The sequence below is a fragment of the Homo sapiens genome, chromosome 1 (assembly GCF_000001405.40).
Source record: "Homo sapiens chromosome 1, GRCh38.p14 Primary Assembly".
NCBI lineage: Eukaryota > Metazoa > Chordata > Mammalia > Primates > Hominidae > Homo > Homo sapiens.
This window is the reverse complement of record NC_000001.11, coordinates 175,323,577-175,338,890: the sequence shown is the minus strand read 5'-3', so window position 1 is coordinate 175,338,890 and position 15,314 is coordinate 175,323,577. Positions and strand designations below refer to the sequence as shown.

The window sequence follows — 15,314 nt, the reverse complement described above, 5'->3', positions numbered from 1 at the left end:
CACATCTCCAGGGGGGCCTTCCATAAACCGACTCTAACCACCTCTTCCTGACACAGGAGGCTTCACTGGTGATCTATGATGGGGTCTTAGGTGCTCAGGGTTTTCAGTGAGGTTGCTATGTTGCCATCCTTGGGTAGGTGCTGTCACTTACTCTGACCCACCAGCGGGCCCTGTGTCACACCTGTAGTGCACCGGTTCTGCCACTAGGGTATACTGCAGTAACTGACACGTGCGGTCCCTCCCCAGCCTCTCTTCCTGACTGCAACAGTTCAAGGATGCAGAACTAGATCAATCGCAGCATGCTCTTCATCAACCCAGAAGATCATACTATTTACAGAGCACCCAAACCACCCTTTCCCACACAGCAAGCTCTGCCTTTAGCTCACTCTAGCAGCTCCTGCAGTTCAGAAAAGCTCCTCCGGTGGGCTTTCTGCTTCTTGGCTTGCCTGCTCAGCATTAAAATTTGCCCTGAAGCTAAGCTCTTCAAGACACAGGATTTAAGCTCCTCTTTCAGCTAATTAGATATTGTTCTACAAATTGGGCTGTTGTCTCTGAAAGATGAGCTGCAATTTACTTCCCCTGCCCTCTCCTTAAACTTAAACTGAACTGTAAAACATGGCTACTTGATTGTTTAGTCCAATCAGGATGTATTTTGTACAAGGAATAGATAATTCATCTTCTTGCTAATGCCGAGCTTGTTTGGGCATTCCTTAATGGCTACTGTAAAGATGACAGAAAGCTTTGCTCAGATGCCTCTCATTCTTTTGAAAGGTGGAGTCTGCAGTGATTTATTTTGGCCCATGCATCTGTAATCATTGCCTGAGTAACCAATCACTACCTGCATTAACACATCTTTGCCCTTCAAGGGGGAGACTTTTATTATCCCCATTTTACTGATAAGAAAACTGACGCCCAACTGATTTACTTAAAGTCAAATAAATAGGTAACTGGTGGAGCTAGACCATGAACACAGACCTTTAGTTCTCAGATCCCATGAAATTGTATGTTGTCTGATAAGTCTAACAACAGTTGTGGAAGGGAAATCCAAGATGATGCCAAGTCCCCACACCCACACCTTGAGCTCCGTTGAGGATTTCTTACAGCTGTTGATGATGTACCAGGAGGCCTGCTAAGACCTTCTATGATCCAAGGAGCTCTTGTGCACTGTGAGAGAAAGAATCCTTTCTGGACATTGTCTATTTTCCTTGCAGGAGGCCGGGTGTTCCCTCATCCCCAAGACTGTGCCCAGCATTTGATGAATGGAGACACTTTGAGTGGGGTTTACCCCATCTTCCTCAATGGGGAGCTGAGCCAGAAATTACAAGTGTACTGTGATATGACCACCGACGGGGGCGGCTGGATTGTAAGTACAATCTGTGCTCTCCTTGCACAGAAGCGTCCTCAGTGTTCTAGTCTACCTAGCTCAGCACCTGCCAAGCCAACTTCACCATCCTCCTGGCCATCCTTTTATCACCCCCCACATGTCCATCTTGGGGCTCCTCATTGCCCTCAAGGCCCATGTTCAGAGTCCAATCATATATCTGGCCAGGCAGGGAAAGGAATAACTATATCTGTCCTCACAGAAGGAGGAGGAAAGGACAGTTAAGCAGGAGAGTGCTGGGGAAAGGCAGTCGCGGGTCTGTTGGGCCCAAGGATCTTGCCTGCTGAGAAATGCATCTCTAATAAAGCAGTGGAGGTGCTGGGCAGAGTGGCTGATTCCTGTAATCCCAGCACTTTGGGAGGCCAAGGCGGGTGATGACTTGAGGCCAGGAGTTCGAGACCAGCCTGGCCAACATGGAGAAATCCTGTATCTCTACTAAAAATACAAAAATTAGCTGGTCATGGTGGCACATGCCTGTAGTCCCAGCTACTCTGGAGGCTGAGGCAGGGGAATCACTTGAACCTGGGAGGCGGACGTTGTAGTGAGACGAGACCATGCCACTGCATTGTAGCCTGGGTGACAGAGTGAGTAAGACTCAAAAAACAAAACAAACAAGCAAACAAACAGGCAGTTGAGGAAAACTATTTCTCTATGAGGAGGTGATCACCACCACAGAGAGATGATCAGAAGCCTCCAATTGAGGATTGCAGTTGGGAAAGCAGATGAGGCCCCAAACATGGATAGCTGGCTCCCCTTCCCCATTCTTCCTGGGGTCTCCCTGGTTCTTCCCCAGAGCTGACACAGCCTTCAGGGAGCACCAGTGGTCAGGAAAAGAGAGACACTGTTTCCTGTCACCACCCTCCTCCCATGCCTGATAGGGCAATACAGAGTGAGGGAAAATAAGGGCAGCCTCCTTAATGCAAGCCGGTCGGAGCAGCCGGGAGTTCCCACCACTTGGCCCTAAAGCAGCCCAACATTAGCTGGATCGCTTTAGGATGGAAAACCAGCCCCTCCGCCCTTCTTTGGATGCCCTCTCTCGCTCTGCTAACAGTGCTGGATGTTTCCTGGTGCAAAATGGGTAGGTTTTGAATGGTGATGTGCTCATAACAGCTACTCTTGGGAGACATTTTCTTTTATGTTTCTGACATATGTGTGCCTCCTTCTTAAAGCATAACTGGAAATTGAAGCCAAGGCTGATATATTGGAGGCTAAATAAAATAAGCACTTAAACAGCTCAGAAAGTGAATGATATGCAATATTGCTTTGCCTGCAATAGGACGATGACAGTTACTAGCTGATTTGAAGTTGGTCCTGTTCTTTTGGTGAGAAATGCTTTCTACTGCACTCTGTAGTGCAAAAGATTCGTTTGAGAGCCAAGCCTATTTCCCCTGATATTTAGGGCTTGATATGTATCCTGAGTCCTTTCTACATTGCAGGGGTGCAAATTAGTGTCAACATCACACTGGAGCCTATTCATCAGGGGCCTCTACACTTCAAGAGAAATGCTCTGAGTGTCTCCTACAAAAACTGCTGTGTAAATACTGAGCTCTGCTCTGAAATGTTCCTTCTTTGGACATCTTTGTCATTGCAGATATAAAACCCAGTTATATCAATTTTACTTATCACAGTTTATTTTCCTTAGCATCTCTTTGGGTTTTGTTTTTTTGTTTGTTTGTTTTTTGTTTTTTTATTTCCTTCATAGGTATTCCAGAGGCGGCAGAATGGCCAAACTGATTTTTTCCGGAAATGGGCTGATTACCGTGTTGGCTTCGGGAACGTGGAGGATGAGTTCTGGCTGGGTAAAGCCTCCTTATTGCTTTCCATTGATGTGCTTCTCTGGCTTTTTGTCCATCTCTCTCCTTTTTGTGTCCATCTGAGATTATCAGAAACCCTGTGTTTGTTGAGAAGCTAACAGCTCCTGAATTGCTTTCAGAACCTCTTGCTCTGTTTAGCTTCACTATTGATCTGTTTTTATCTTACTGTGGTGTTTCCCTCTTTTCTCTGTCTCTTCCCATCCTCATTAATAGTCTCTTATTCTGATGGGTTTTGACATGAGGCTGCCACAAAGGGAGTGAGCTGCCTGGTCGGTGAGGGGCACAGGGAGCAACAGGCTGCCTGGCCATCTCCCAGAAGCAAGGCAACCAGCCAGCCAGCCTGCAGGTCAGGGGAGAAATGAGGACAGCCACTCCGCTTAGTTCCTTGGAGAATGTTATTACCTGACCTGGGAAAGAAAAGGGAAAAAATGAAAGTGGCATTAGAGGTGACTGGCAATTTCCTAGAAGTCTGACACCGGCAGGAAATATAGATCGAGAACCAAACTGGCGTGAGATGGTAAACACACATCCAAGCCAGGCAGATGGTGGTGGTGCCAAGTTCTGGAAAGTGGTCCATTTATTATGACCTGTGTCCCCCTCTTAGTTAGATTTTCATAGTGATGGATAAAGGGAGGTAGAGGAAAAGATTATCAAGTTCCATATTTGTGGTCTCCTCTCTGTCTTCCCTGCCACTATCTCATCTCATCTTCTTCTCCTGGGTGCCTAGATAACAAGCTTCTTACCGGCCTCTCTGCCTCTAGGACCACCCCATTGTCCACATGGCTATAATCACCCAACAGGTTCTTCTTGTCTTTTGCACAGATAAACCCAATTCTCTGAGACAGCATTATTGCAATAAAGAAAGAGTTTAATTAACACAAGGCCACCAAGTGGAAGGACTGGAGTTATTACTCAAATCAATCTCTCCAAAAACTCAGAAGCTAGGGTTTTTATGGATAATTTGGTGGGCAAGGGGCTAGGGAATGGGTGCTGCCAATTGGTTGGGGATAAAATCATAGGAGTGTGGAAAATGGTCCTCGTGCCCTGAGTCTGCATCTGGGTGGGGGCTGCAGGCCCAGTTGAGTCATGTGTCACTGGTCCAGGTGGGGTCACTTCGTTGCCTGAATGCAAAAGTCTGAAAAACATCTCAAAAGACCAATCTGCAATAGTGCTGTTATCTATAGGAGCAACTAGGAAAGTCACAAATCTCTGGCCACATGACCCTGAGCAGTAAGGGATTATAGAAACTATGCCTACATTTTAGCAGAACTCAAATCCCTCCGTAATCCTAATCTCTTGGCCTTTCGTTAGTCTTGCAAAGGTAGTTTCAGTCCCTGAAAAAGGAGGGGAGCAGTTTCAGGGAGGACTATTATCATCCTTGCTTTAAAATTAAACTATAAACTAAATTCCTCCCATGGTTAGCTTGGCCTATGCCCAGAAATGAGTGAGGAGGGCAGCCAGCCAGTGAGGCCAGAAGCAAGGAATCAGCCATGTTAGATTTCTCTCACTGTCATGATCTTTGCAAAGGTTGGTTCATGACCACTATAATGATCTTCCTCACACCCCAAATATGGGCGATGGCTAATCCCCTTTGTAAAACTTTTCAATGACTCCACATTACCACCAGGAGAAGGCCCAATGCCTTAGCCAAAGTACAGGCCCTCTCTCACCAGCCTCTGAAGACTCCTCTACACCCTAAGTACCTCACCTGCTCTTCCCCCGACTCCTCTCCAACACCAAACTCCACACATGCAAAACCCCCGATGCTTCCTCTGCCAGGAGCACTCCTAGCCAACTGTCCTCCTTTCCCCACATTCCTTGTGTGGTGAGTGCCATCTGTGTATATTCAGAGACACAGCTAAGCACCTTCTCCTCCACAGAGCCAGTCCTCACCAGTTTTCTCCCCTATTGCCTGTGGGAGAAGTGGCCACTCCTTCTTTTGTGGCACAGATCATAGTGTCCATTTTACTTCCTGTCTGTCTCTGCTATGTGAGCTTCATTGAGGGCTGGGACCACCTCATATTTATCTTCTAACCCCATTACCTATGTACCTATGACAGTGCCTGAGAGATAGTAGGTACCTAAAATGTAGATAATCAATAAATCAATCAATGATAAGAATTAATGGAATGCATATTAAATCCACAGATTTGTGTTTGCTGATATAGACAATAAAAATGTAAGGTAAATGCCATACAAAAACATTGACATAAAAGTCAAACAAATTGAAAAATATTCTTACCTTGAAAGCATCAGCAAGCAACTTGGGAGACAAGTGTAATACCCATGAATCGATACATCCATAAGCAGACAGGACTCACGTTTCCCAAAGCTGAGCTGCTGTATACCATTTTCACAATTTGTGTCATATTTTCTGAAATACATAAACTATCATGCACTTAAAATTTCTATAATTACTCTTTAATTAAATCTATTTTTAAAAGAAATGTTATAGCATTGCCAAAAATAGAAAGCTAGTTATCATGTGCCATAAATAAAAAAGAAAACCTCAAAAATAAATGCAATTAAAAGAAACTATATTAATAGTACTAAATGAGAGTTAAATACAGGGACTCCAAGCCTGTTGTTGCTGGCAGTGGTGGTGGTATTAAAAATGGAGATTAGGAAGTGTTTCATGCTTTTCATGCTAAACAAACCACTAAAACACTAGAACAAAACTGAGACTGTGAGTGAAGGTTAGGATCAGGGTTAAGGTATCTCCTTCTTCTATTACAAAAGACTGAGATTAAATTTGGAAATACCTTTCTTCCTATTATTCAAGGTTATTTAGTGCCTTATATATCTCATGTCATCAGAGATGCCATCCACACTGGGTAACACTGTTCTAACATAAGAGTCACTGAAATGAAGGCCACAGATATTCAAAGAAGGAAGAGACCAGCTTCCTGGAGAAGGCATTGAGGGATGAGTCAGTCAGAAGAATGGAGGAAGGAAAGGGATGAAAAGGAGGGAAGGCAGGAATTCTCCTGACAACTGCAAACTTAGGCCAGGGAGGAAACCCAATCCCAGTGAGGGAAAGAAAACAATGAGGTGAGTGGGTTGAATAGAGGCACAGTAGGGAACTTAAAAATCAGAAAGAGAAGTCTTTACTTGATGATGTAGGTAAGAGGGAGACAGGGAGGGCTCTTGAAGATGCTAGGCCTGGTGTGGTGTAGTTTGGAAGCAATACTCAAGTTGGGGATAACACTGTGACCCATAGTTTATGTACTATATGGGGTTCTCTAGAAGCAGAGATCAAAACAGGGATTCTTGTTCAAGTGACTTACTGGGGGACTTCACTGGGGAGAAGGGAATGGGGGAACAAAAATAGGGCAGAGAAAACTGCAAAAATGTGGTTTTGGCTGGAGACTCACTTCAGTGTGATCCCTAAGGAAGCTTGGGAGCATGAATTGCTCCTCAGAGCTGGTCACCACTTAGACAAGGAGGCCAAGCTTTTGAACCTCTCCACATCAGTCACTGATGGAGGTCTGCTCCAAGGCATGGTGGGAGAGAGCTTAGCTTCCAGGATGAAGTGACTCCCATTTGCTCAAGGGCAATTTTCCAAGAAGAAGGCAGCTGCAAGTTGCTAACAGCCAACACTTGTAGCAGCCTGGGGGATGGATCTATCTGCCAATTAAAGACATCCCAGCAGAACAACATCAGCATCTACTACATCTGCACAAGCACAAGTCTAGGGTGAGTTGTGGGTCAGCAACTCAGTCAACAGCAAACAGCAGTCAAACAGCCTTTGACTTATAATCAAGGTAAAGCTCTAAGTCTCAAATGGGACAGGAAAGCCAAAAGATCTGGATGACCTTCAGCCAATCATTTCACCTCTCTTGGACTTTAGCTTCCTCTTCCGCAAAACAGACACTGGCCTGAGTAACCACTAAATTCCCTTCAGTCTCTGCAATTGTTTGATTCTAAATCACGGCATACTCAAGTAGAGATCAGATGTCACAGCAAAGCAAGGGGACTCTAGTTCAGTAAGCAGATAAAAATTAGGACTCAGAGAAATTACCAGCAACACAAGATGAATGGTTCAAAGTTTGGGCAGGTAGATCAAAATTGGAGAGTCCCAGGGCATGGCTAATCATGACAAGCAGGCAAGAAAATGTATATAAGAAAATATCGGCCAGGCACAGTGGCTCACGCCTGTAATCCCAGCACTTTGAGAGGCTGAGGCGGGCAGATCACGAGGTCAGGAGATCGAGACCATCCTGGCTAACACGGTGAAACCCCATCTTTACTAAAAATACAAAAAATGAGCTGGGCATGGTGGCGTGTGCCTGTAGTCCCAGCTACTTGGGAGGTTGAGGCAGGAGAATGGTGTGAACCTGGGAGGTGGAGCTTGCAGTGAGCCGAGATTGTGCCACTCCACTCCAGCCTGGGCAACAGAGAGAGATTCCGTCGAAGGAAAGAAAGAAAGGAAGGAAGGGAGGGAGGGAGGGAGGGAAGGAGGGGAGGCAGGAAAGAAGGAAGGAAGGAAGGAAGGAAGGAAGGAAGGAAGGAAGGAAGGAAGGAAGGAAGGAAAGAAAAAGAAAGAAAGGAAGAAAGAAAGAAAAGAAAGAAAGAAAGAAAAGAAAGAGAGAGAGAAAGAAAGAAAGAAAGAAAGAAGGAAAGAAAGAAAGAAAGAAAGAAAGAAAGAAAGAAAGAAAGAAAGAAAGAAAGAAAGAAAGAAAGAAAGAAAGAAAGAATCACCAAGAGGGATCTGGACTCTGCCTAACCTGGGGACTTACAAAGGTTTGCACCTTAAAAGAATATATTAGACCAAGGCCTGGGAAGTTTAGAGGCAAAGGAAGAAGCAGATGAATGAGGGTAACTGGCTGAAAAGGCCAGTGGAAAGGTAGCAGTGCAAATGTAGCAGGCAGATTAGAGAGAAAGGGACTGGAGTCAGGAGGCAGAGAATAATATTCTATGACCTGGCTATGGAGCCCCAGGAAGCCTAGGCTGAAGGCAGGAGAGGCAGTGTAAGGAAAGTTCGACAGAGCCCTTCCTACATGCTACTAGGAGATGTTAAGATGTTCCAGATGCTCTGAACTCCTCTAATCAATGTTTTCACCTCTTGCTTTCGATCACTCATGCCCAAGGGCTCACATCCATGTAATACCTCTTGTAATTTTCTTCTAGTACCATGGTTTGGCAGAGGAGGTGAGAGGGGACAGGGCCAGGAATCCTGAGGCTCAGGGCTTGTCAGTTACTGGGTCAAGAGGAGGTATTAGAACCCCTGAGTTTCCTGTGTTGGAAACCCATCAGCAGACCTGGACTGTCCTCTTTGCAGGAAGAAATTCAGTCTGGCAGGGTCCATTTGATAACAACCTGTGAAGCACCAAGAGCAAAAGCAATCTGGAGTCCCCTCCTCTTCCCTGTAACATGTTTTGAAGCCACAGACGCATTTCCCTCCCATTTTCCAAAGCTGCTGGGGGCCAGTCTCAGTGCATTTTCTGCTCTTCTCCACAGGGCTGGACAATATACACAGGATCACATCCCAGGGCCGCTATGAGCTGCGCGTGGACATGCGGGATGGCCAAGAGGCCGCCTTCGCCTCCTACGACAGGTTCTCTGTCGAGGACAGCAGAAACCTGTACAAACTCCGCATAGGAAGCTACAACGGCACTGCGGGTACCTATGGCTCCTGAGCAGACCCCAAGGACAGTGGGCATGGGACAAGAGCCCCCAGATTCTAGGCGTAAGCTGCCTCAGGAAGCAGCAGCACCCACAGAGTTCCAGCATTCGCTGCTGGCCAGGGAGAAGAAGGGCCATGCCACTGGGAACCACTGGCACTGGTCCCAGCTCTCCCTGACCAGTCACCTAAAAGCAACTTTGCAGGACTTCAGTTTCATCATCTGGAAAATCATAATAAGGATGCCTGCCCTACTTCACTGAGTAGTCAGAAAAAAATCAGTGGAGTGATTGTACTTTTAAGGTTTAAAAAAGATGCAATGTGAAGATGAAGAAGGATTGTTTTCTTTGTCTAGATTAGTCACTATGGGCTCTTATGCAGTGAGAGCAGAATCATCTACTGTCTGGGTAGAAATCTCCCATGCAATGACATCCAGGAAAACCATCTTTGAATTAGTGCAAATCATACAGATGTCACCCCTCTCTGAGATGCCCCTAACACCCCACCCTGTCCATCAGCGGTCATGCTAACACCTAGTCAAGGAGCAAACAATGCCACTTACCTGTTCCTCATTTGCCATGTTTCTTTTCATTCCTCCGCAAGAACCACATAGACGGTCAGGTTTTCTGTGTAGATTTTTACAGCATTTCTACCAAACAGAACAACCATCCCATCAAGCTTGGTTGCATTAGTAGTTTTTTCAGAACATAACACCCAGTCTGCTTCTTGGGCTTTGCCAATCTGTTTCCCATGTTCTATTATAACACATTTCACAAAACCTGCTTTTTCAAATATTCTAATGTTTGATACTTGGCATTATTGGCCCTTTCATTAACACCAATTCTAGGGTTAAATGCTGGTGTATAATTTTAACAACATTTTTATGACTCTTGAAATTAAGAAGAGCATTAAGGTGTTGTCCTTCCAGTTACTGCATCTGTTCAATTATTTCTCTTCTTAGCCAGATACTCCAAAGAGAAGACATGCTTTCCTTTATTATGCTCACATCTGAGATCATTTCCAACAGCAATGAGATCAGCCTGAAGTGCCCCCAACAAAAGGCCCAATTTGCCACACTTTGGGCATAAAATAGCCATTGAAATGGAGCATATTAAACAAGATGCCGGACTAAATCATTTAAAAAATCACCTGACGCTATTCACTTCTAAGATTAGAATTGTGCCTGTAGAAAAGCCATTCTGATTTCTCCTACAGGAAAAGAAGCCAGCCCTCCAACTTCCCTACAGCACCCCCTCCCTCCCTCCTCTTCATCCGCCTGTGCTTTCATCTGCCTTGCTTGGGCCTGGCCCTTGCTCCCTCTGTTCCAGCTCTGTCTTGCTTCTGGGCCTATGGAGGCCAGAACAGTTGGACTGTGCGCTATTCTCATGTCTCAGAGGCAGATCCTGCCAACAGTTTGGCTGTTCATCATCAGCTAATTAGGGTCTTATCTCTCACCTCGAATATTCAGTTCATCTTCTTCAAAAGATGAAAAGCTAGGCTTCCGTTAGGCTGCCATCCCCTCTAGGCAACACCACACAATGGTTGTTCTTTCTAGATCAGAAGGTTTCTGGAGAGGAAGAGCCCATCCCCTCTCTTCTGGCATTTAATATTGCCCAGTTCTCCTGGACCTTATCTTTAGTAGTGGCCTTCTGAATCAACCCATCTCCAGGGCCTCCGATCCAAGTTCAGCCTTTTCTCCTGCTCCCCATTTCCCAAGGCTGCAAACATTCAAATCTCTAGGATGCTACTTGGATCAGAACTGAAAATTACAAATTAAGTTATCAATCAGAGGTTGTTGAGCAGCTCCTAAAAGTTTATTGTGCAAGTTGTGGGGACTCAAAAGAAGCATAAAACATGGCCTTTACAAAAACTAATCGTCTAGTTTTAAAAAGAAACAGGAAGTAACTCATCACACAATCAATGGTACTCACTTCTAGTTTTTTCTGTTTTTGTTTTTGTGTTTTTGAGATAGAGTCTCACTCTTTCACCCAGGCTGGTGTGCAGTGGCGTGATCTTGGCTCACTGCAACCACTGCCTCCTGGGTTCAAGTGATTCTACTGCCTCAGCCTCCTGAGTAGCTGGGATTACAGACACATGCCACCATGCCCAGCTAATTTTTGTATTTTTAGTAGAGATGGGGTTTTGCCATGCTGGCCAGGCTGGTCTCGAGCTCCTGTCCTGTGGTGATCCACCTGCCTCGGCCTGCCAAAGTGCTGGGATTACAGGTGTGAGCCACTGCATCTGGCATCTCATTTCTAGTTTAAGGGGTGTTTGTGGAAGAGGAGTCTGGGTGGTGGAGGACGGCATCATAAAGGCAGCTGCATTCGACTGGGATTCCCATGGTAAGGAAAATAAACCCTGGAAGTTACAGAAGGAGCAGATGCTGTGGAGGAGGGGAGGCTGTGAAGGGACTGGCAGAGCAGGGCAAAATGTAAATTCAGGAGGAATAGAGAAGATTGGTGAGGCAGGTAGAGCCAGATCCAGAAGCTGGAAAACCAAGGGGCAGAGGAATTCAGTCTTAACATGGTAGCACTGGAGGGCCATTGTAGGTCCCAAGAAGAAAAATAGAAGTGGGGTTTAGGAAGATTCCTGTGACAGCCACAAACAGGATAAAGTAAGTCCGAGCGAAGAACATAGAGCGGCTGATGGCTGCTGCATCAGACCTAATAGGAGACAATAGGAGTCTTGACTAATGTTGGAAATTAAGAAAAAGGTATTATAAATCTGAACAGTGGTTTGAGAGACAGAAACCAGGACTTAATGTGTTAAACACATGAGGTGGCTATATGAGGCAGAAATGGGAAGGGGAGCCAGGCTTTGGGAGGATGTAAAGACCAACACTGGGAGCAATCTGCGACAGTGGAAGGCAGCCTCAGAGTGGAAGCTGGAGAGAACTGCTCCAGGGGAATAATGAAGACAAATTCTAGATGACAGAGGGAGACGCAGGGAGTGAGAAGATAGGATGTGGGTGGAGACCGCATAATCAAGGAACTGATAGTGAAAGAAATAATCATTAAGGAGTAGGATTAATCTAAGAATTTTTAAGACAAAGGATATAAATGTAACTTAAGGTGAGAGGAGGTGAAAACTTAAAAAAAAAAAATAGAAGTAAAAGGGCTGGGCTCACACCTGTAATCCCAGCACTTTGGGAGGCCGAGGCGGGCAGATCATGAGGTCAGGAGATCGAGACCATCCTGGCTAACACAGTGAAACCTCGTCTCTACTGAAAATACAAAAATTAGCTAGGTGTGGTGGTGCATGCCTGTAATCCCAGCTACTTGGGAGGCTGAGGCAGGAGAATCGCTTGAACCTGGGAGGCAGAGATTGCAGTGAACCAAGATTGTGCCATTGCACTCCAGCCTGGGCAACAGAGCGAGACTGTCTCACACCAAAAAAATAAATAAATAAAAGAAAAAGGAAAAAGTAAGCAATATGTTTTAACTTTTCCAGGATCTGGAAGAGATGGGAAAGAGTGAGTTGCAGATGGTGGGGTTAACTCTAGATGGGCATAAAAATCTGAGTCCCTGGAGACTGGAAGGGGAAGACGAAGAAGACGGAATGAAGATCATGTCATGTTGAGTTAGGGCCTCCCCAGTGAGGGCGTCAGCCTTCCCTATAAAATAAAGGTCAACCTCCTGAGAGTTAAGTTGTGGTGGGAGGCATCAGAGGCATTGAGTGGCCCTGTGAGCCTGGACTCAGAAGCCACAGAATCAGAATAGGTCTTTCCTCGCTTAACACAAGCTCAAAAGCACCCAAGACCTCTTTCATTCAATAAGTAGCATGAGCCCCCTTCACAACATCCTGAGCCACAAATCCTGATCCTGCTAAAAGTTTTATAAACTGTTATAATTTAATTACAGTCTGATCCCTCACCTTAAATACACAATTTACCTGAGCCCCCTGCACAATATCCCCAAAAGAGAACACGCAGCCTGTTTGCCCCTCAGAATAAAAATCTCACCACCTCTTTAAGCAGTCTATTCCACTTGTGAACACCTCTAATATTTAGGTAATTTATCCTTGTATATTTAGCCTAAATATGCCTCTCTTTTTTTATTACACTCTAAGTTCTAGGGTACATGTGCACAATGTGCAGGTTTGTTACATATGTATACATGTGCCATGTTGGTGTGCTGCACCCATTAACTTGTCATTTACATTAGGTATATCTCCTAATGCTATCCCTCCCCCCTACCCCCACCCCACAACAGGCCCTGGTGTGTGATGTTCCCCACCCTGTGTCCACGTGTTCTCATTGTTCAATTCCCACCTATGAGTGAGAACATGCTGTGTTTGGTTTTCTGTCCTTGAGATAGTTTGCTGAGAATGATGGTTTCCAGCTTCATCCATGTCCCTGCAAAGGACATGAACTCATTCTTTTTTATGGCTGCATAGTATTCCATGGTATAGATGTGCCACATTTTCTTTATCCAGTCTATTATTGATGGACATTTGGGTTGGTTCCAAGTCTTTGCTATTGTGAATAGTGCTGCAATAAACATATGTGTGCATGTGTCTCTATAGCGGAATGACTGATAATCCTTTGAGTATATACCCAGTAATGGGATGGCTGGGTCAAATGGTATTTCTAGTTCTAGATCCTTGAGGAATCGCCACACTGTCTTCCACAATGGTTGAACTAGTTTTTAGTCCCACCAACAGTATAAAAGTGTTTCTATTTCTCCACATCCTCTCCAGCACCTGCTGTTTCCTGACTTTTTAATGATCGCCATTCTAACTGGTGTGAGATGGTATCTCATTGTGGTTTTGATTTGCATTTCTCTGACGGCCAGTGATGATGAGCATTTTTTATGTGTCTGTTGGCTGCATAAATGTCTTCATCTCCACCTACTAATCCTCATACTTCCCCACAGAATTTATTTAATTTTTTTCTCAATAGCCCATCAAATATTTGGTGACAGTGATCACAGGCCATGTCTCCCTCTTGAAGTCCGCTCTTCCCCAAGATACAGCCCAGATGTCCCAAGCACTTCTCCTTTGACATGGTTATGTTTTTTTCATCATCCTGTTTCTTACGGATGGGAATTCTAATTTGCTGATGCCCCTCTTCCCATGTGGCCTCAAGTTCAGAATGCAGTTTCTTGGGTGTCATCTGAGCAGGCCTGGTAAGCCAGGGAGAAGCCAGGCTGAGGCTGCATGGTGGTGCCCTAGAATGGCCCAAGTCTGCCTGGCTCATCACCATCTCCTCTGAAGACAGGAGGAACCATGAGTGGCCTGTGTCCACGTACAGGCTGGGAGGAAACAGCTGAGGGTTGGGGGTGGGGTGGGCAATGAGATGGGGTTAAGTGGAGAAAATTCTCAGCAAAGGTGGTCAAAGGGATTAGGAAGTGGGTTGGAGAGAGTAGCATGGAAGTGGTTGGCCCCAGGGGTAAGGTGGAGTAAGAGTTCAGCACAGCCACTCTGAGAAACTGGGTGGAAATGAAAAGGTTCCATAAGTGGAAGCCAGGTTTGCTGGAAGTGGGTCAAGTGTCCAGAAAATCCTGATAAAGCAGTGACAAATGGGACAGCCTAATGAATGTATCTTTTTTGCAGGGGACTCCCTCAGCTATCATCAAGGACGCCCTTTCTCCACAGAGGATAGAGACAATGATGTTGCAGTGACTAACTGTGCCATGTCGTACAAGGGAGCATGGTGGTATAAGAACTGCCACCGGACCAACCTCAATGGGAAGTACGGGGAGTCCAGGCACAGTCAGGTAAGCGATGCTCCACCTCTGCTATGAATGAGCCAGAGCTGTGGAATCCGTGCTCCCTTAGCTTTATATTTTAAAAGCACATGTGAGTCCTTCATTTCCCTTTAAAAAGAAATATTTTGAGTCTTGAGAAAAATAATGCAGACAATGGGATAAGATCAGGACAGAGTAGAAGCCAGAGGAAGGAAAGGAAAGGACCCAGGAGCCAGAACTTACCCAGAGAAGCCCTTGGATCCAGAAGATCCCATGAAGAGAGCTTATCAGTCCTGGGGACAGCTTCACAGACTCAACTTTACCCTAAAAATGGTCCCAGGAAGGTAGACATCGAAAATACCAGTGTGAACTGGACAATCTTTCCCTATCAGAGACCACAAGTTTATAGGCTAAGCTGGGTGACAGGGAGACCACCATGACCAACTAGACTTTCTAAGTGTTAACACTGAAACAGCCCACATCAGGGAAGCCCTTCAGTTCTAGGCAAACCAAAAGGGTTTGTCACCCTAGGTAGAAACCGCCTAAGTCTCCCATTAGGAGTGAGCAGTCAAACACAGTTATTCTCTTCCAAATGCTTCCACCCTGTTGGGATTTCACAACCATCTACTGGTGCATGCCACTCCTGGAAGCCAAAAACAAAGCTGGCAATAAGGAATGACCTGCAACATGTTCCCTGGAAAGACCCAGGCCACCGGCACATTTAAGGAGAAAGCTAGAAAGAGACTCTGCCCCTTTCACTTTATTGGGAACTCGGCCTTGAAGCTTCATGTTAGCTGAAAATAGCTAAC

General features: G+C 45.5%; 1 protein-coding gene and 1 long non-coding RNA gene across 4 annotated transcripts in view, besides 1 other annotated feature; one reads left to right on the top strand and one right to left on the bottom strand.

Moving 5' to 3' along the window:
* TNR (tenascin R) overlaps window positions 1–15,314 on the top strand; it is a 428,402-nt gene that overhangs the window by 404,705 nt on the left and 8,383 nt on the right. For both annotated transcript variants that reach the window (NM_001328635.2, NM_003285.3), the window contains exons 19-22: window positions 1,212–1,363; window positions 3,084–3,180; window positions 8,656–8,817; window positions 14,372–14,535. In NM_001328635.2, the coding sequence (NP_001315564.1) occupies window positions 1,212–1,363; window positions 3,084–3,180; window positions 8,656–8,817; window positions 14,372–14,535 (575 nt within the window). The remainder of the gene's footprint in view (window positions 1–1,211; window positions 1,364–3,083; window positions 3,181–8,655; window positions 8,818–14,371; window positions 14,536–15,314) is intronic.
* Window positions 64–358: a silencer, noted in NCBI's record as "tiled region #1508; HepG2 Repressive non-DNase unmatched - State 13:Ctcf". NCBI's record gives its function as "represses a minimal TATA promoter and a strong SV40 promoter by Sharpr-MPRA in HepG2 cells {active_cell/tissue: HepG2}" and the evidence as "EXISTENCE:reporter gene assay evidence [ECO:0000049][PMID:27701403]".
* Window positions 3,382–15,314, bottom strand: part of LOC105371623 (uncharacterized) — a 48,000-nt gene continuing 36,067 nt past the window's right edge. Inside the window, exons 3-5 of one of the 2 annotated variants that reach the window (XR_001738299.2) lie at window positions 9,381–9,467; window positions 5,438–5,569; window positions 3,382–3,602 (exon numbers count right to left, since the gene is read on the bottom strand). This is a non-coding gene — a long non-coding RNA (uncharacterized LOC105371623). The remainder of the gene's footprint in view (window positions 3,603–5,437; window positions 5,570–9,380; window positions 9,468–15,314) is intronic. The other variant, XR_001738302.2, reaches the window with a different exon arrangement.